Source organism: Homo sapiens, chromosome 2 (genome assembly GCF_000001405.40).
Source record: "Homo sapiens chromosome 2, GRCh38.p14 Primary Assembly".
NCBI classification, from domain to species: Eukaryota; Metazoa; Chordata; class Mammalia; order Primates; family Hominidae; genus Homo; species Homo sapiens.
Window position 1 is genome coordinate 233,705,302 of NC_000002.12, and position 18,105 is coordinate 233,723,406.

Here is an 18,105-nt window from a genome sequence, read left to right on the forward strand (position 1 = left end):
TGTAAGTTGAGTTTTTCAGCAACACATTCTCTCAATTTTTGTCTTATTACATGGGGTTTTGCTTTTATTTTGTTTGTGCCTTTAAAATGATACTCATCAGAGACTTGTCTTCAGAGGTGGCTCATAACTTATCCTTCAGAATTGCACATATTTTTTAGCAGACACACATGAGGCAAATTTAATGATAATAAATACCTTTTTAAGAATCAGGGTGGGGAGATTACCTTCAGCTGTGAAGAGCAGCTGGTGATATTGCTTGTGGCAAGGGATAGAAATGGTTTATGGATCTGGGAAAGGCTCTGAAGAGAGAAGAAACTGAGTTGACAGTTCTAGGAAGTTGAAGGTCTTCTCATAAATTATAGTTGTGAGATAATATTCACAACGACTGGTATAAAAATTCACCAGTATATTGTTATCTTTTAATACCCTGAGCAGGTAGGTCGGTAACAGATCAGCTGCATACTTTGAGTGTCTTAGTGCAAAATGCCCCTTGTTCAAAAATTATTAAGAATTTCAGGCCGAGCACAGTGGCTGGAGCTGAAGTGGGAAGCTGAGGCAGGCAGATCACTTGAGGCCAGGAGTTCAAGACTGCCCTGGCCAAAATAGTGAAACTCCTTCTCTACTAAAAAGACAAAAAATTAGCTGGGTGTGGAGGTGCATGCCTGTGGTTCCGGCTACTCAGGAGGCTGAGGTGTGAGAATCACTTGCACTTGGACCTGGGAGGCAGAGGTTGCAGTGAGCCGAGATCACGCCACTGCATGCCAGCCTGGGTGACAGAGCTAGATTCTGTCTTAAAAAAAAACCAAGAATTTCAGGACACTGACAGCAAAGTATTAAACAAAGCATGAGAACCTTCTAAATGTGGAATGTGGTGTGTCTGCCCAGGCTGCTCCTCCACAAAGCTGGCCCAGGCAGGGGCAAATGTGCAGCTGGGAGAGTGAGAGAACCAGGGCAGCTGGATTGCCCAACCTCAGGGGTGGGGCCCAGTGCCAGGTACTATGTAGATAGTGCCTTTTGGAACTATTCAAGCTGGTGACCCTGAAAAAACATTCTTCCAATTTAGGCCATTGTACAAAAGCAGAGGCCAAGTACATTTACCACTCAAACTTCACGTGGTCTTTCAGCCACAGACTTGGTCAAAGCAAATGACCATTGAGGTTTCACCATAGGCTGGGTACATGAGGGTGTCCAGGCTGGTGTGATGCTGAGGATTTTACAGCGGCTTAGAAACACAGCTTTTTTTCTAGGTGTTTCTCAAACCTTAGGGTAAGAGTGGAGATGGGAGGTGGACCTAAGTATGTGATAAGAAGACTAGAGAAATGAGTGTTTCTACTGTGTCTGTGCCCCATCACTGTAGGTCTGATTTCTACTCCCCACCCCACTCCTTCTTGTCACTGAAAAGTCATGGAATTCTGGAATCTCAGGGTTGACAGTGACTGTGAAGCAGAGTGCCGTACACTGGTATCCATCTCTGGGAGAGAAATACCATGCACCAATTAGGTTGGGTTGCCAATCCCAGGGCAGGACTCTAAACACCTCAGCAGTCTTTACTAAGATTCCTAGACCTGGCACTTCCCAGCTCTGGTTGGAGGCATTTTACAATCCTAGCTGCCAGAGTATGAGTCTGGTGAGATGGAATGCTTGTGCAAGTCAGGCAAAGAAACTTGATTCTTCACAGATAGGCAGTAAGAATCAACAGGAACCTAGGATCCATGGTCAGCCAGCCCCCAAGGTAGAGGAAGCTGCTCAGGTGGACAGAGTCCCATCTGCATGTGCTCCACTTTGCATGGCAGCTGAGGGACCCCCAAAATACTCTGCATTAGGCTTTCTATCCCGGAGGTCACTGCAGTTTATCAGCACCCAGACATCCATCCTGGGTGCCTGCCCTCCGTTCTATTCCCTTTCCATCTTTTCTCTGACTTTTGTGATGATTATTTCTCTTGTGTTTTTCTTCATCAGCATTTATTTTAAGTTCCAGGGCACACATGCAGGATGTGCAGGTTTGTTACATAGCTAAACATGTGCCATGGTGGTTTGCTGCCCAGATCAACCCATCACCTAGGTATTAAGCTCAGCATCCATGAGCTATTCTTTTTGATGTTCTCTCTCCCTCGACTATTTCTTTGCTTTTCTTTACAATTTTGCCACCTAAATTTGCATCTGTAAATAATACAGATGATTTTACCTGTTTCGGTACTTAACATAAATAGAATTTTACTGTTTTTCTTTGTCTTGCCTTTTTTTTTTTTTTGGTTCAACCTTATGTTTGAGAGATTCATGATGTGTGTTTTTACAAGTTGTAGTTTGTGGATTGTCAGTACTGAATATATCCCATTGTATGAATACACCACAATTTTATTTATCCATTCTACTGTTGATGGGCTTTGGGTTGTATCTAGCTTTTCACTACTGTGAACAATGTTACAACGAACATTCTTTTACATTCTGAAACACATGTGAGTGGGTTTTTAGAGTATATACCTAGGGGTGGAGCTGCTGCGTTGGAGGGCGTGCATATCATTAATTTAATAAGATGTAACTATTTTTCAGAGTGGTTGTACATATCCCTGATTGCTAAGGCATTAGTTATGTACATGACTGATTATATTGAGGGTTTTAAAATATACTTATCAGTCATTTGGATTTCCTCTTTTGCCCATTCAAGTCTATTGCCCACTGGGTTGTCTACTCGAATTATGTATGCATTCTGGATACTAGTTCTTTGGCAGTTATAGATATTGCAAATATCTTCCCCCACTCTGCATCTTGCTTTTTACTTTTATTCAAACGAATTAGAATAAACATCTTAGTATATGACTCACTGTGCTCCTGTGTGGGAGTTTCCACAGGGGAGTTGCCGGAAAATGGACTTACTGTGTCGTGCACATTTTAAATGTCATTAGGCATTAACAATTTATTCTTCCCTTAGCAATGTATAAGTGTACACTTTCCTTCATATCCTTGCCACATGTATTATCATCAAATGCTTTCAGTTTTTGACAATCCAATAGGTAAAAAATATCTCAAGGTTATTTGAATTTTCATTTCCCTTATTAATTCTTCATTTAAACGTCTTTTGTGTGTGTGTGTTTACTTTCATCAAGTTGTTTCACCAGTGAAGATAAGAACTGGTATTTACCTTCTGCATTTAATAGAATTGATGCAACTGGCTGAGCGTGGTGGCTCATGCTTATAATCCCAGCACTTTGCGGGGCCGAAGCAGGAGGATAGCTTGAGCCCAGGAGTTTGAGACCAGCCTAGGCAGCATAGTGAGATTCCTTCACTACAGAAAGTAAAAACCTAGCTGGACATGGTAGCGTGTGCCTGTAGACCTAACTACTCGGAAGGCTGAGGTGGGAGGATTATTTGAGCCCAGGAGTTCAAGGTTCCAGTGAGCTATGTTTGCATCATTGCACCTCAGCCTGGGCAACAGAGCAAGACCCTGACCAACTCCCCACCCCCCCCCAAATCAATGCAACCTGTGATCACTTTATTTGGGCAACTTCCCCAAATTCTTGACTCAGTGAATTTGTTGCAGGGCTTTTCTTTTTTAATCTCTTTTATTGGTTCACATACTAGAACAATCTCAGGGGCTATCTGGTTAGGTATTGCTTGCTACAGAGCCAAACTATGTCACCAGAACCCATTTATATGTTTCCATTTCTTGTCTCTGTTTCCTCGGCCGTGGCATCCTTCTCAGTGTCATAATACCCAAGCAGCAGGGGCTTCAGCCTGAGTTCTTTTCCCAGGATTCCTAGTTAAAGTTCTTCTGCCTCATTGGCTCTAATGAAGTCACATGCCCATCTCTGAACTAATCATGGTGGCCAAGGGGATGAGACGTGCTGATTGGTTGAGGCCTAGGTCACATGTTCTATCCTGAGCTGGGAGTGGATCCTCACCAGAAGTACATTTGAGAGTTTGGGGGAGGGGTGGCCGCTGGGATGAGATAGGAAATAACTTGTCCACGCTGTGAATTACCCTTCAATTAATGATATTTTCTATTTAGATGTCAGATTTTTTGTTACTAGTTTGTCATATAAACCTATTACTATATAGATTTTTCTGTGTCCTAATCTAAATTTCTTTTAATAATCTATGGGTGAACACTCAATAAGAATGTCCTCCAGAAAGGATGACCTGCCGACTTTTAAAGCAATCATTTTGGGGCTTATAAGTATTTAGTATTTGAAGTCTCTGCCTCTTGCTCTCTTTTAGGAATTCTTTTTCCTACTGTGATATATGTAAGTACTTATAAATTTAAACTTAAAATTCAAAAAATATACCAGGATGTGAAAGAAACATTATTAAATATAGGTGTTTTGCTGTGAGTGTTTCTTGGAATAGGTAGGGCTTTGTATAGTAGGTTTTGGTCTTTTGGTCAGCTTGGGAAAATTTTGTTCTTTTTTAATTGAATGATATGTTTTCAATTGATACTACTAAAATAAACATTATTGGAGTATTATTTACATGCAATAAAGTGCACCGTTTTAATGATACATTTCTGAGTTGTAATGATTTTATTTAGCTGTGCAGCCATCACCACATTCAAGACACGGAGCACTCCATTACCCAGTAACTTCCCTTCTGTCCTATCTCAGTCACCTAATACCTCCCCTCACCTTAGGCAACCCTGGATGGTTTCTGTTGCTGGATAACAGAATTGTCTTTTCTAGAGTTTCATCTGAATGGAATCATACAATTATGAATGAAAAACACACAGGTATACTGTTTTGTGTCTGGCCTCTTTGGCTCGGCATAATGTCTCTTCAGATCCTTTCACATTGTTGCATGTATCAATATTTCATTCGTTTCTATTTCCGAGTAGCATTTCATTGTATAGATATATCATCATTTGCTTATGCATTTATTTATTGATGGACATGTGGATAGTTTCCAGTTGTTGGCTATTATGAATAAAGCTGCTATGACTATTCGAGTACGAGTGTTTCTGAGATTTCATTTTTCTTGGGTAAATACTTAAAAGTGGGATTGTTGGGTTGCATGGTAGGTGTATGTATGACTTCATAAGAAACAGTCGAACTGTTTCCAAAGCAGTTATACAATTTTACATTCCTAACAGCAACGCATTAGAGTTCTGGCTGCTCTGTATTTGTGCTAAGACTTGCTATTTTTAGTCTTTTACATTTTAGCCATCCTAATGGGTGTGTAGTAGAATTTCATTGGGTTTGAATTTGCATTCCTCTTATGACTGATGATAATCTTTTCATGTGCTTATTGATCATATGCCTGTTTTCTTTTAAAAGGTGCCCTTTCAAAATCTTCCGCACACCTTTATTGGTTTGTTTGTCTTCTTATATTTGAGTAGTGAGTTCTTTACATATTCTGGATACAAGTGCTATGTCAGATAGTTGTGTTTCTGTTTACTTCTGGTGTGTGGTGTCCTTTGTTTCATTTTTTAAAAAACAACGTCTTTCAAGGAGCAAAAGTTGCAAGTTTTGATTAAGTCAATTTTAGCAAACGTTTTGTGTTTTGTACCCCTCGTGCCCTATCTAAGGAATCTTTGTCTACCAAAAGGTGGGAGGATTTGTTTCTATGTTTTTTAAAAAAGTTAAACAGTTTAAGTTTGTAGGTTTGGGTGGAAAGAGGTCTTTAGACCACTTAGTCTTTGTTTAGGTCTTTGTTTATGTCTCTGAGATTGGCAGAGGGGAATATACAATCATTCAGATCAGGCTATTGGATGCCTTTTTCTATCTCTGAATTTTTCTGGGGTGACCTCACTGACACCCATGGCTTCAATCACCACTTATGCTGATGGCTCCAAGTCTATCTGTGCAGCCCAGACCCCTCCTCATCTCCAGACCCTGGAAGCTGATGCCTTGGGCTGCTCCTCCTATTTCCTGGGCACCAGGAATATGAGCTACTCCCTCCCCACAGTCCTGCTCTCCCCAGTGCTCCCATGTCGCTGAAGGCACCACCATCTTCCAAGATACATGGGCCTCCCCAGGGTCTAGGAGTCCTAGACGTGGGAGTAGAAATTAGATGACATTGGTGTCTAAACAAAACACCACTGCATGGAGATAGAACAGGGGAGCCCCCTGAATGTGGTGAGAGCACCCTCCCAGGTGTGTTCCACCCTCACCCCGGGCTCATCAGGAGGGTGCTTAGGATGCATACAGTTTTAAGGGGGTTGGAGGAATAGTTCAGAGGCTGAGATGTTGCACCCACAGCTGAGAATCCCTTTCTAGCGCTCTGTGTCCTCACAACTCCCCGGGAATCATCCTCCCCTGGAGAGTTCCCAAAGCCCTTGCAGGCCTGCCTTCTCTGTGCCTTCCTGCCTGCGCCCTCTGGTGGACAGCTCCATTCGCTGCCTGTCCCATGGGTTCTGTCCAAAGGTGGAATCTATTATCAATGTGGATTTCTAATGGGGGTAACTTCCTCCCTAAGGGAAGCCTCAGCTTCACCAGCAATGGCAGACACGGCCAGGCATGTAGACACAGAGGAAGTGAGATAGAAAGTGTGCACAGCCCAGAGAGCCTGCCCACATCATCCTGGGGCGACCAGGACAAGGAGGCGTCAGCAATCTTGCCAAGCACAAGTATGAGTGACTTTCTGGAGCAGGACGAGTCTCATGGGCGTGAGACCATTGTGAGTGCTCAGGGTCTCTCCATTAGAAAGGCACACGTTTAATTCTCCATTTTGAAATTTGAACTAGAGCCCCCACAAATTATTCTGTTCTGGAGGAACCATTCTTATCAGAACTTGGTGCTGGATTGACTTGGAAAAAAGCCTGACCATAATCTTCAGGATGAAATAAAGGCCTGGATGAATGGACACTTCAGTCTCTAAGCAGACTTGCAGAAGACTGGAGCCTTCAGCATTCAGAAGAGGAATTCAGACTGTGCAAGATCTGAGGCCAGGCTCCAGCTCCCCCGGTCCCTTGGTGAGCAGGAGCTCCCTGAACCCACCATGGGTCTTTGCTAGGGTTGTCTTGCACATGTGTGCTTTAGACAGCAGCACCTCTTCTTCCATGGTGTAGATGGAGAATCCTCAACAAAGCCTTTCCAAGAATCTGATCATCACATCTTGAGCTCAGCCTCCCTGCAGCTTTTTTTATATTGACAGCCACTTCAGAGAGAGTCCTCTTTGAGCTTTACAAGAAATATCCTGGTGTGAAAAACGACCAAAACCAGATAGCCAGCCTCCCCACTCCCTGTTTAAAGAAAGCTGGCTTAGCAATGTTGTCTGCATTTTGGATGTGCTGTGTTACCCATATGTGGGAAGAAAGAGTATTAAGAGTTAGCAAATAGGGTCACATCCAGCAGAGACCATATGGTTGGGGACTAGGGCAATGGTGACTCCTCAGACCTCAGCTGCAGCCTGATAAACGTGGTTAAGAGAGAAGTAGGAGACAGTGACATGAAATGGGGGTTCACAGCCTTGTGTTGGGAATTGAATGAGAAACAAGAGCTTGAACTTGGATGTTCCCCAGAGCGAGCGCAAGGTCAGATGAGTTTTTCAAGATAGGAGTGATCGGTCTTTCCCAGGGTGGGGCCCATAATGCAAGACAATTATAGATTAACGGGTAATAAGTAACTGGAGGAGGGCACTCTGTCTTCAATTACATGTTGATTTGCTAGGTGTCTCAGTGACAAGGTAATTAAGACGAAGGAAACAATTCTAGGAGGCACAACGTGGGGTGGACAGTCAGCTGTCGGTGGCTTCTGCTGAGATGGCCACAGGACTCCAGGTTCCCCTGCCGCAGCTGGCCACAGGACTGCTGCTTCTCCTCAGTGTCCAGCCCTGGGCTGAGAGTGGGAAGGTGCTGGTGGTGCCCACTGATGGCAGCCACTGGCTCAGCATGCGGGAGGCCTTGCGGGACCTCCATGCGAGAGGCCACCAGGTGGTGGTCCTCACCCTGGAGGTGAATATGTACATCAAAGAAGAGAACTTTTTCACCCTGACAACGTATGCCATTTCATGGACCCAGGACGAATTTGATCGCCTTTTGCTGGGTCACACTCAATCGTTCTTTGAAACAGAACATCTTCTGATGAAATTTTCTAGAAGAATGGCAATTATGAACAATATGTCTTTGATCATACATAGGTCTTGTGTGGAGCTACTGCATAATGAGGCCCTGATCAGGCACCTGCATGCTACTTCCTTTGATGTGGTTCTAACAGACCCCTTTCACCTCTGCGCGGCGGTGCTGGCTAAGTACCTGTCGATTCCTGCTGTGTTTTTCTTGAGGAACATTCCATGTGATTTAGACTTTAAGGGCACACAGTGTCCAAACCCTTCCTCCTATATTCCTAGATTACTAACGACCAATTCAGACCACATGACATTCCTGCAAAGGGTCAAGAACATGCTCTACCCTCTGGCCCTGTCCTACCTTTGCCATGCTGTTTCTGCTCCTTATGCAAGCCTTGCCTCTGAGCTTTTTCAGAGAGAGGTGTCAGTGGTGGATCTTGTCAGCCATGCATCTGTGTGGCTGTTCCGAGGGGACTTTGTGATGGATTACCCCAGGCCGATCATGCCCAACATGGTCTTCATTGGGGGCATCAACTGTGCCAACGGGAAGCCACTATCTCAGGTCTGTATTGGTGCCTTTATCCAATCAATGTTCCAGGCAAAACACTTTTTAAAAAATGTATTTACTTACAAGTGCTTCCATATCTACTTATCTTTCCAAAGATTTCATTTCTGCTTCTCATTGTTGTAATAGTCTTCAGTGAGATAAACTTTTAAAGGGTCAATGGTAGTGCAGTTCAGGGTTTCAATGGCCACTGAGAGGAAGGAGAGGCAGGGACGAGGATCTGTCAAAGGATGGGCAAGAGTGGTGTGACTCACGGAGACTGTTCGTTTGTAAAAGCACCATCTTCATGGCTGTGGATGTGCTTCAGCTGGGCAGGAGCAGGGACACTACACTGAGAACTGATCCATCCAATCTTGCTGGCAAGATTTTCAGTAGAAAGGAGGAAGGAATAGAAATTTACAATTGTTGACGTGACAATTTTTAGTGGTCCCATCTTGCAAAAGATAGAGAGGTGACCACAGGAGACCTAAGCACTCAGAGGAAGTAGAGGTTTCAAAGAAGTTGACTCAGTTCAGTGGAATTGGGCCAATGTAGGTGCAATGGATGTCTGTGATCAGAGAATGAAACACAGAGTTCAGTTTCCAGAGAGGGAGTGTTGGATTGTAATAGGAGAATGTTTCTTGTGAAGACACTACTTAAAAAAAATTCTTACTAGGTTAACTTCATGGTCTAATACCGAAGTGTCCAATAGAAATATCATGTAAACCACATACATAATTTAAACTTTTCTAGTGGGCATGTTAAACACCAGCAAAAAGAAACCACTAAAATTAATGTGAATAATGCATTTTATTTAACCAGATGTATCCCAAATATTATCCTTTCAACATGTGAACTGTTTAACGTAGCTTTTTTTGTTGTTAAGTCTTCAAAATCTAGCATATATTTGACACTTACAGTATATCTCAATTTGGAATAGCCACATTTCAAGTGCTCAATATTCATATGTAGTTAGTGACAACAATATGGTGAATGTTTATAAATATTCCATGGATAAAACTAAAATTCTATCTTTTAAATTTTTCTATCTTTTGAGATGGAGTCTTGCTCTGTCACCCAGTCTGGAGTGCAGTGGTGGGATCTTGGCTCATTGCAACCTCCACCTCCCAGGTTCAACTGATTCTCCTGCCTCAGCCTCCCAAGTAGCTGGAACTACAGGCGCATGGCACCACATCCAGCTAATTTTCTTTTTTTTTGTATTTTTTATGGAGATGGAGTTTCATCATATTGGCCAGGCTGATCTCAAATGCCTGATCTCAAGTGATTCACTCACCTCAGCCTGCCAAAGTGCTGGAATTACAGGCGCGAGCCACCACACCTAGGCAATTTTTCTATCTTTTAAAAGACCCTCTACTGAATCTGCCCAATTCTGTGAAGGATGTCTTTTAAAAAATCCCCTTACATAACAAATTCTCCTCCAGTTATATTTTGGCTCTTGAATAGGTTTTGCTTTATACATAGTGATTAGATTGGTGCATGTAGGTTTGAGGTTTGAGACTTATATTTTCTTCACAGTTTGCTGTTATCATTAAATAATAATCCTTAAAATACATTTTATCTGATATCAGTAATGTGACTCCTATGTTATTTTTTGAATTCCCCATCTCTTTTAATTTGAAAATGATTTGTGTGCAAGTGGGTAGCTCACACCTGTAATTTCAGCCCTTTGGGAGACCGAGGGAGGAGGATTGCTTGAGCCCAGGAGTCTGAGAGCAGCCTGGGCAACATGCTGAGACTCCATCTCTACAAAAAATTAAAAAATTATCCAGGTGTGATGGTGCACACCTGTGGTCCCAGCTACTCGGGAGGCTGAGGCAGGAGGATCACTTGATCCCAGGAGGTGGAGGCTGCAGTGTGCCATGTTCACGCCACCTCACTCCAGCCTGAGTGACAGAGCGAGGACCCATCTCAAAAAAATAAAAATTTATTTGGAATGTGAAAATCTTGTTTTAAAGTTAGAAAACATTTTTTTAAAACTCCAATATGAAAAGCTGGGTGCAGTAGCTTGTGCCTGTGGCCCCAGCTACTTGGGAGGCTCAGGTGGGAGGATCATTGAGCTCAGGAGTTTCAGCTCTTGTGGTTTGTTGACTGACTGACTGATTGACTGATTGATTGATTTAAAACACAACAAAACCCAAAATGACTTTAATCTGATAGTTTCTTTTGATGTCAGCATTCTGATTCTGTCCATTCTTAGTTGTATTCTTTCCACTGAGTGTAAGCTCATTCCTTTAACAGAAATTTAGTTTTTCCATCTTAGTTTTGGAATTCCATGGCCCTTTTCCATTTCCATGGAGATGCAGTGCAGCATCTTCAAGTCTCTAATTCTTACATCTGTCTCTTTCACTTGCAAGAGCCCTTGTGATTACATTGTCCTGCCCGGACATCCAGCATAATCTCCCCATGTCAAAACCCTTAATATAATCACATCTATAAAGTCTCTTCCACCTGTAATGGAATATATTCCCAGGTTTGCGCAACTACAATGTAGATACTTTGTGGGGCTGTGATTCTGCCTACCACAGACACTAAGCTTAAAGTGAAACCCACATCTTATTCAAAACTTGGAGGTTTTCCTTCATTTGGCCATTTAAATTTAATTTTTGTTTCTGTCCTCCGTAGTCTTCTATTCTCCAGGCTTCAGAGCTCTCAGCTTACCATTCAATTATCTCCTTTCTCTCCTTATATTCCTTTTTTCATTTTTTAAAAACAATACTTTCAAAGAGCAAAAATTTTAGAATTTGATGAGGTTTATTCTAGTGAAGTTTTTATCGTTTGTACTTTTTGTACCCTAAGGAAGCTTTGTTTACCCCAAGATATAGTTTCTACATTCTCTTAAAAACACTAAAGAGTTCCAGTTTATATGTTTAGCTCTGTGAGATTGGGAGAGGGGAGCTAGATCACTCAGGTCAGGCTTTCGGGATGCCTTTTTCTGTCTCTGGACGTTGCTGGGGTGACCTCACTGACACCCATGGCTTCAGCTACCACATATGCTGATGGCTCCAAGTCTATCTGTGCAGCCCAGACCCCTCCTCATCTCCAGACCCTGGAAGCTGATGCCTTGGGCAGCTCCTCCTATTTCCCAGGCACCAGGAATGTGAGCTTCTCCCTCCCCACAGTCCTGCTGTCCTCAGGGCCCCTATGTCTCTGAAGGCACCACCATCTTCCAAGATACATGGGCCTCCGCAGGGTCTAGGAGTGCCAGACACGTAACCAGAAATCAGATGACATCACTATCTAAATAAAACACCACTACATGGAAATAGAACACCACTACATGGAAATAGAACATGGGAGCCCCTTGAATGTGGCAAGAGCACCCTCCCAGGCATGTTCCACCCTCACCCCGGGCTCATCAGGAGGGTTCTTAAGATGCAGACAGTTTTAAGGGGGTTGGAGGAATAGTTGAGAAGCTGAGATGTTGCACCCACAGCTGAGAATCCCTTTCTAGCACTCTGTGTCCTCACAAATCCCCAGAAATCGTCCTCCCCTGGGGAGTTCTCAAGCCCTTACAGACCTGCCCTCTCTGTGCCATCCTGCATATGCCTCCCTTGAGCTGGGTGTCCCTCTGATGGACGCATCCATTCACTGCCTGTCCCATGGGTTGTGTCCAAAGGTGGAATCTGTTATCAATGTGGATTTCTAATGGGAGTAACTTCCTCCATAAGGGAAGCCTCAGCCTCACCAGCAATGGCAGACATGGCCAGGCATGTAGACACAGAGGTAGTGAGATGGAAAGTGGGCACAGCCCAGAGAGCCTGCCCACCTCATCCTGGGGCGACCAGGACAAGGAAGCATCAGCAATCTTGCGAGCACATGTAGGAGTGACTTTCTGGAGCAGGACGAGCCTCATGGGCATGAGACCATTGTGAGTGCTCAGGGTCTCCCCCTAGAAAGGCACACATTTAATTCTCCATTTTGAAATTTGAAGTAGTGCCCCCACAAATTATGCAGCCCGTTCTGTTCTGGAGGAACCATTCTTATCAGAACTTGGTGCTGGATTGACTTGGAGAAAAGCCTGGCCATAATCTTCAGGATGAAATAAAGGCCTGGATGAATGGATACTTCAGTCTCTATGCAGACTTGCAGAAGACTGGAGCCTTTGGCATTCAGAAGAGGAATTCAGACTGTGCAAGATCTGAGGCCAGGCTCCAGCTCCCCAGGTCCTTTGGTGAGCAGGAGCTCCCTGAACCCACCGTGGGTCCTTGCTAGGGTTGTCTTGCCCATGTGTGCTTTAGACAGCAGCACCTCTTATTCCATGGTGTAGATGGAGAATCCTCAATAAAGCCTTCCCAAGAATATGATCATCACATCTTGAGCTCAGCCTCCCCGGAGCTTTTTTTTATATTGACAGCCACTTCAGAGAGAGTCCTCTTTGAGCTTTACAAGAAATATCCTGGTGTGAAAAAAGACCAAAACCAGATAGCCAGCCTGAACACTCTCTGTTTAGAGAAAGCTGGCTTAGCAATGTTGTATGTCTTTTGGATGTGCTGTGTTATTCACATATGAGAAGAAAGAGTTTCAAGGGTTAGCAAATAGCGTCACATTCAGCAGAGAACATGTGGTTGGGGACTAGGGCAATGGTGACTCCTCAGACCTCAGCTGCAGCCTGATAAATATGGTTAACAGAGTAGAAGGCAGTGACATGAAATGGGTGTCCACAGCCTTGTGTTGGGAATTGAATGAGAAAGAAGAGCTTGAACTTGGATGTTCCCCAGAGGCAGCACAGGGTCAGATGAGCTTTTCAAGATAGGCGTGATTGGTCTTTCCCAGGGTTGGGCCCATAACGAAAGGCAGTTATAGATTAATGGGTAATAAGTAACTGGAGGAGGGCACTTTGTCTTCCAATTACATGCTGATTTGCTAGGTGGCTCAATGACAAGGTAATTAAGGCGAAGGAAACAAATGTAGCAGGCACAGCGTGGGGTGGACAGTCAGCTGTCGGTGGCTTCTGCTGAGATGGCCAGAGGACTCCAGGTTCCCCTGCCGCGGCTGGCCACAGGACTGCTGCTCCTCCTCAGTGTCCAGCCCTGGGCTGAGAGTGGAAAGGTGTTGGTGGTGCCCACTGATGGCAGCCCCTGGCTCAGCATGCGGGAGGCCTTGCGGGAGCTCCATGCCAGAGGCCACCAGGCGGTGGTCCTCACCCCAGAGGTGAATATGCACATCAAAGAAGAGAAATTTTTCACCCTGACAGCCTATGCTGTTCCATGGACCCAGAAGGAATTTGATCGCGTTACGCTGGGCTACACTCAAGGGTTCTTTGAAACAGAACATCTTCTGAAGAGATATTCTAGAAGTATGGCAATTATGAACAATGTATCTTTGGCCCTTCATAGGTGTTGTGTGGAGCTACTGCATAATGAGGCCCTGATCAGGCACCTGAATGCTACTTCCTTTGATGTGGTTTTAACAGACCCCGTTAACCTCTGTGGGGCGGTGCTGGCTAAGTACCTGTCGATTCCTGCTGTGTTTTTTTGGAGGTACATTCCATGTGACTTAGACTTTAAGGGCACACAGTGTCCAAATCCTTCCTCCTATATTCCTAAGTTACTAACGACCAATTCAGACCACATGACATTCCTGCAAAGGGTCAAGAACATGCTCTACCCTCTGGCCCTGTCCTACATTTGCCATACTTTTTCTGCCCCTTATGCAAGTCTTGCCTCTGAGCTTTTTCAGAGAGAGGTGTCAGTGGTGGATCTTGTCAGCTATGCATCCGTGTGGCTGTTCCGAGGGGACTTTGTGATGGACTACCCCAGGCCGATCATGCCCAACATGGTCTTCATTGGGGGCATCAACTGTGCCAACGGGAAGCCACTATCTCAGGTCTGTATTGGTGCCTTCATCCAATCAATGTTCCAGGCAAAACACTTTTTAAAAAATGTATTTACTTACAAGTGCTTCCATATCTACTTATCTTTCCAAAGATTTTATTTTGGCTTCTTTATAACAGATAAACTGTTGAGGGGCCTAGTGTATTTCAAGTTTTCAGTGGTCACTGAGAGGAAGAAGAGGCACGGATGAGGGTCTGTCAGAGGATGGACAAGGACTGCTGTGACTCACGGACAGTGTTTGTAAAGGCACCATCTTCATGGTTGTGCATGTCCTTCAGCTCGGCAGGATCAGGGACACTACATTCAGAACTGATCCATCCTGGGGTTTTTGCTTGCCTGATTTTCAGCTGAACGGTGATGCAACAGTAAATTAGAATTGTGGACATGATAATTTTTAGTGGTCCCATCTTGCGAAAGATACAGAGGTGACCACAGGAGACCTAGGCACTCACAGGAAGTAGAAGTGTCAAAGAGGTTGACTCAGTTGAGTGGAAGTGGGGCTGTGAAGGTGGGATGGATGCATGTGATCAGAGAATGAAACATGGAGTTCAGTTTCCAGAGAGGGATCTGTCCTGAGAAAAGTTTTTCTGACCAGGAGTTGGGGGTCTGGTGTATGATGTGGGGACATCGTAGAGTTTGGAAGGTATGGTGATGGTTGCATGTCAAAAGGGTCTTCTACTTGGAATGCTGAAATTATCAAGAGTGGGTGGAAGGGACTAGGGAGGAGATAAGACCGTGAATCTATAAGCCCAGTGAAGCTGGGACCAGTGATGAATGGACATGTGTCCAAGAAGGGAAGTGTTTCTCAGGTGAAGCTGATCATATCACCAAACTCACCCTATCCCACTCCAAGTTTCTATAGTGGGATCTATTCTTTTTCCAAAAATTTCAGAGGTGACTTTCATTAATACAGAATATTTGGGTTTCATTGAAATAGTACTCTGGGATGTGAAAAACCAAATTCACACACCAATGAATTTGGTTTCTAAATCCATTAAGGGAGCCATCCTTTTTTTTTTTTTTTTCTTGAGACTGAGCCTCGTTCTGTCGCCCAGGCTGGAGGGCAGTGGCCGGATCTCCGCTCACTGCAACCTTCACCTCCCGGGTTTAAGAAATTCTCCCACCTCAGTCTCCTGAGTAACTGGGACTGCAGGCATGTGCCACTGCTCCTGGCAATTTTTTTTTTTTTTTTTTTAGTAGAGATGAGGTTTCGCAATGTTAGCCAGGCTGGTCTTGAACTCCTGACCTCATGTGATCTGCCCGCCTCGGCCTCCCAAAGTGCTGGGATTACAGGCAAGAGCCACCAAGCCCAGTGAGGGAGCCATCTTTCTTGTGAGAGAATTGAGCCCTTTTTTGTCATATTCACTGAATTTATATGAACTTCCATGAGTTTAGGTCCTTTGTATTCTTATTTCTGTACTTCTTTTTATTAGTGTAGGTATTATTGCAAAGGACACTAAACTTTATTTTTGTTTTTGATCAAACCACAAGATATTTGTTCTACTGGTTTTCTTTTCCCCTTATGCAATGTAGTTACTGAATTGTAAAAAATATATATGTTCTTTAGCTTTGTAAAAATGTGGAAAATTAGGAAGGCATTTGAATAGTGATTGTGGCTCTTTTCTTGTGGTTTTTCACTATGAATATATTCTTTAGACTGAACTGCACTGGCTCAAATCTTCACTCTCATTTTTCTAGCTATGTGACCTAGGACAGGTACCCTAAGCATTGTGGTTTTAATGTTGTTATAGTGAGCACCCAATAAATATTATCTGTTATCATTCTTATTATTTTAGTTTAATTGCATTTATTTTATGCTGAATTTCTTCCAGAGCCATAGGTAAATTTTTTCTTCAGTTTCTTCTGGGATATCTTTTTCTTCTGTGCAACCTCATCCTCAGGTTTAGGAACAATTTGTTCCTTATCAGTAAAGATCATCTTGAATGTGGCAGTGGGGGGTCATGTAAGGGTTAATCCAATAATGAGCTCTGCAAGACGCATGGCTCATCTTGGATGCTTTGTTTACTTGGATAAGCTTAATGATGAGAGAATCTACATCTAAATTGTTATATTTAGCATTATTCTCTGCATTTTAAAGCACATGCAGCAAAAATCCAGCACCCTATTTGGGCCACCGACCTTGTGTCCAGCCCCACTGCTCGGCCCTGGGCACACTTGCCAGCCCCTCCATTGCAATATCGAAATGGTGCACACTGCTTCCATAAAGTGACATCCTTCAGACACTTGGTGGCTCTTTGTATATGCATACATTGATGGCCTGGGTAGTTTCACGAATGTCCTTTAAGTGAACAGGAAAACTGAAACCTCTTGAATTGCATGATTTTGTGGTGTTTCTGGGTCAAGTGAATAAAGAAGAATTTTCACAGATCACCTTAGGCCTCTTAGAGGAAGAGCTATCATCATCATTAGTAGAGTTTAAGACTCCTGCAGGACAAGATGTGTCACCTGGAGACCTTTGCCATGTTCGTGCCAATTTACTGAGTGCATGAAAGATCATTTACACCAAAATCTTTATCATGTATTATCTGTGACAGACACGCCATTATCATTTTTATTACATTGATTTCCTTTGTTATTTTGTCACCCTTACTTACTTGGTTTGGTTGACCCTTAGATTTGAAATTTTTCTACAAATATACAAGACTAAAGTTGAAATCTTACGTTTCTTCTCCCTCTCTTTCTCCTTGATTTAAAGTTTATGGATAGGTTGAATTATTTGATTGGTCTTCTCAAAGAAATAACTGTGGAATTTGTATATTCTTTTCACTGTTTCATTTTCCGTTTCGTTAATTGCAGCTTATTTTTGCCTTAATGATTTCATCCTAGTTTCTTTTGGTTGATTTGTAGCTGCTTTTGCAACTTCGTTAGAGGACTATTACACTTCTTTACATTTGATTTTTCTTAATGAAGCATTGAGGGCTCGAGTAAAAGATTTCTTTTACTTAGGTTTTGGTAAAAATTGCTGTTCTTTTCATTGCTTTTAGATAATTTAAATATCAGTTTTTAAATTTCTCCTTTGATGCAGTGACTGTCTATAAGGCTGTTACCTAATTCTGATATTGTTAATAATTTTGTAGTCATCTCCCTCTTATTTTTTCAAGTTATTTTGTATTATAATAAGAATGTTTCTTTTTTTTTTTTTTGAAGGAAAAAATAAATTTATTGCTCATTAAGTGGAAGTGGATCATCATAAAGGTCTTCATCCTCATTGTCTCCATGCTGAGTGGGCTGAGGAGGAGGAGGAAGGGGAGGGATTGGTCCTGCTGTCTCAGCGTGGCAGAGGCAGAAGAGGATGAGAAGGTGGAAGGGCCAGCGGGAGAGGCAGGCACACTCGGTGTAACTTTATGGAAATATATCATCATTTTTGTTTGACTTTTTTCCTTTCTCATTTCTCTGAAAATGTTTCTGTACAGTACCAATTCTTCTTCCACCATTTGCTTTAGTTTCAGTGCCCAAACCATAGAAGGGTCCATGTGGTAAAAAAAGTCAAAACTGACTTTTTTTTTTTTTTTTGAGTTGGAGTCCTGCTGTCACCCAGGCTGGAGTGCAATGGCACGATGTTGGCTCACTGCAACCTCTGCCTCCCAGGTTCAAGCAATTCTCCTGTCTCAGCCTCACAAGTAGCTAGGACTACAGGCACACGTCACCACACCTGGCTAATTTTTGTACTTTTAGTAGAGATGGGGTTTC

The 18,105-nt window shown here is 43.2% G+C and overlaps 7 protein-coding genes, 1 pseudogene and 1 further gene across 8 annotated transcripts in view, besides 2 other annotated features; 8 read left to right on the top strand and 1 right to left on the bottom strand.

The window, feature by feature from the left end:
- UGT1A (UDP glucuronosyltransferase family 1 member A complex locus) overlaps window positions 1-18,105 on the top strand; it is a 187,861-nt gene that overhangs the window by 119,863 nt on the left and 49,893 nt on the right.
- UGT1A8 (UDP glucuronosyltransferase family 1 member A8) overlaps window positions 1-18,105 on the top strand; it is a 155,668-nt gene that overhangs the window by 87,669 nt on the left and 49,894 nt on the right. The gene's annotated exons all lie outside the window — the stretch shown is intronic.
- Window positions 1-18,105, top strand: part of UGT1A10 (UDP glucuronosyltransferase family 1 member A10) — a 136,853-nt gene that overhangs the window by 68,854 nt on the left and 49,894 nt on the right. The window lies entirely within an intron of this gene.
- UGT1A9 (UDP glucuronosyltransferase family 1 member A9) overlaps window positions 1-18,105 on the top strand; it is a 101,403-nt gene that overhangs the window by 33,404 nt on the left and 49,894 nt on the right. The gene's annotated exons all lie outside the window — the stretch shown is intronic.
- Window positions 1-18,105, top strand: part of UGT1A7 (UDP glucuronosyltransferase family 1 member A7) — a 91,400-nt gene that overhangs the window by 23,401 nt on the left and 49,894 nt on the right. The window lies entirely within an intron of this gene.
- UGT1A6 (UDP glucuronosyltransferase family 1 member A6) overlaps window positions 1-18,105 on the top strand; it is an 81,599-nt gene that overhangs the window by 13,600 nt on the left and 49,894 nt on the right. The gene's annotated exons all lie outside the window — the stretch shown is intronic.
- Window positions 7,309-7,809: an enhancer, noted in NCBI's record as "H3K4me1 hESC enhancer chr2:234621256-234621756 (GRCh37/hg19 assembly coordinates)". NCBI's record gives its function as "activates a minimal SCP1, AML or CMV promoter by ChIP-STARR-seq in primed H9 embryonic stem cells {active_cell/tissue: H9 hESC(primed)}" and the evidence as "EXISTENCE:reporter gene assay evidence [ECO:0000049][PMID:30033119]".
- The window catches only part of UGT1A5 (UDP glucuronosyltransferase family 1 member A5), a 60,394-nt gene continuing 49,894 nt past the window's right edge, over window positions 7,606-18,105 (top strand). The window contains exon 1 of the mRNA NM_019078.2: window positions 7,606-8,557. Within this exon, the coding sequence (NP_061951.1) occupies window positions 7,691-8,557 (867 nt within the window). The 5' untranslated portion in view covers window positions 7,606-7,690. The remainder of the gene's footprint in view (window positions 8,558-18,105) is intronic.
- Window positions 7,810-8,310: an enhancer, noted in NCBI's record as "H3K4me1 hESC enhancer chr2:234621757-234622257 (GRCh37/hg19 assembly coordinates)". NCBI's record gives its function as "activates a minimal SCP1, AML or CMV promoter by ChIP-STARR-seq in primed H9 embryonic stem cells {active_cell/tissue: H9 hESC(primed)}" and the evidence as "EXISTENCE:reporter gene assay evidence [ECO:0000049][PMID:30033119]".
- The window catches only part of UGT1A4 (UDP glucuronosyltransferase family 1 member A4), a 54,565-nt gene continuing 49,894 nt past the window's right edge, over window positions 13,435-18,105 (top strand). Inside the window, exon 1 of the mRNA NM_007120.3 lies at window positions 13,435-14,386. Within this exon, the coding sequence (NP_009051.1) occupies window positions 13,520-14,386 (867 nt within the window). The 5' untranslated portion in view covers window positions 13,435-13,519. The remainder of the gene's footprint in view (window positions 14,387-18,105) is intronic.
- On the bottom strand, window positions 16,191-16,809 carry RPL17P11 (ribosomal protein L17 pseudogene 11; annotated as a pseudogene).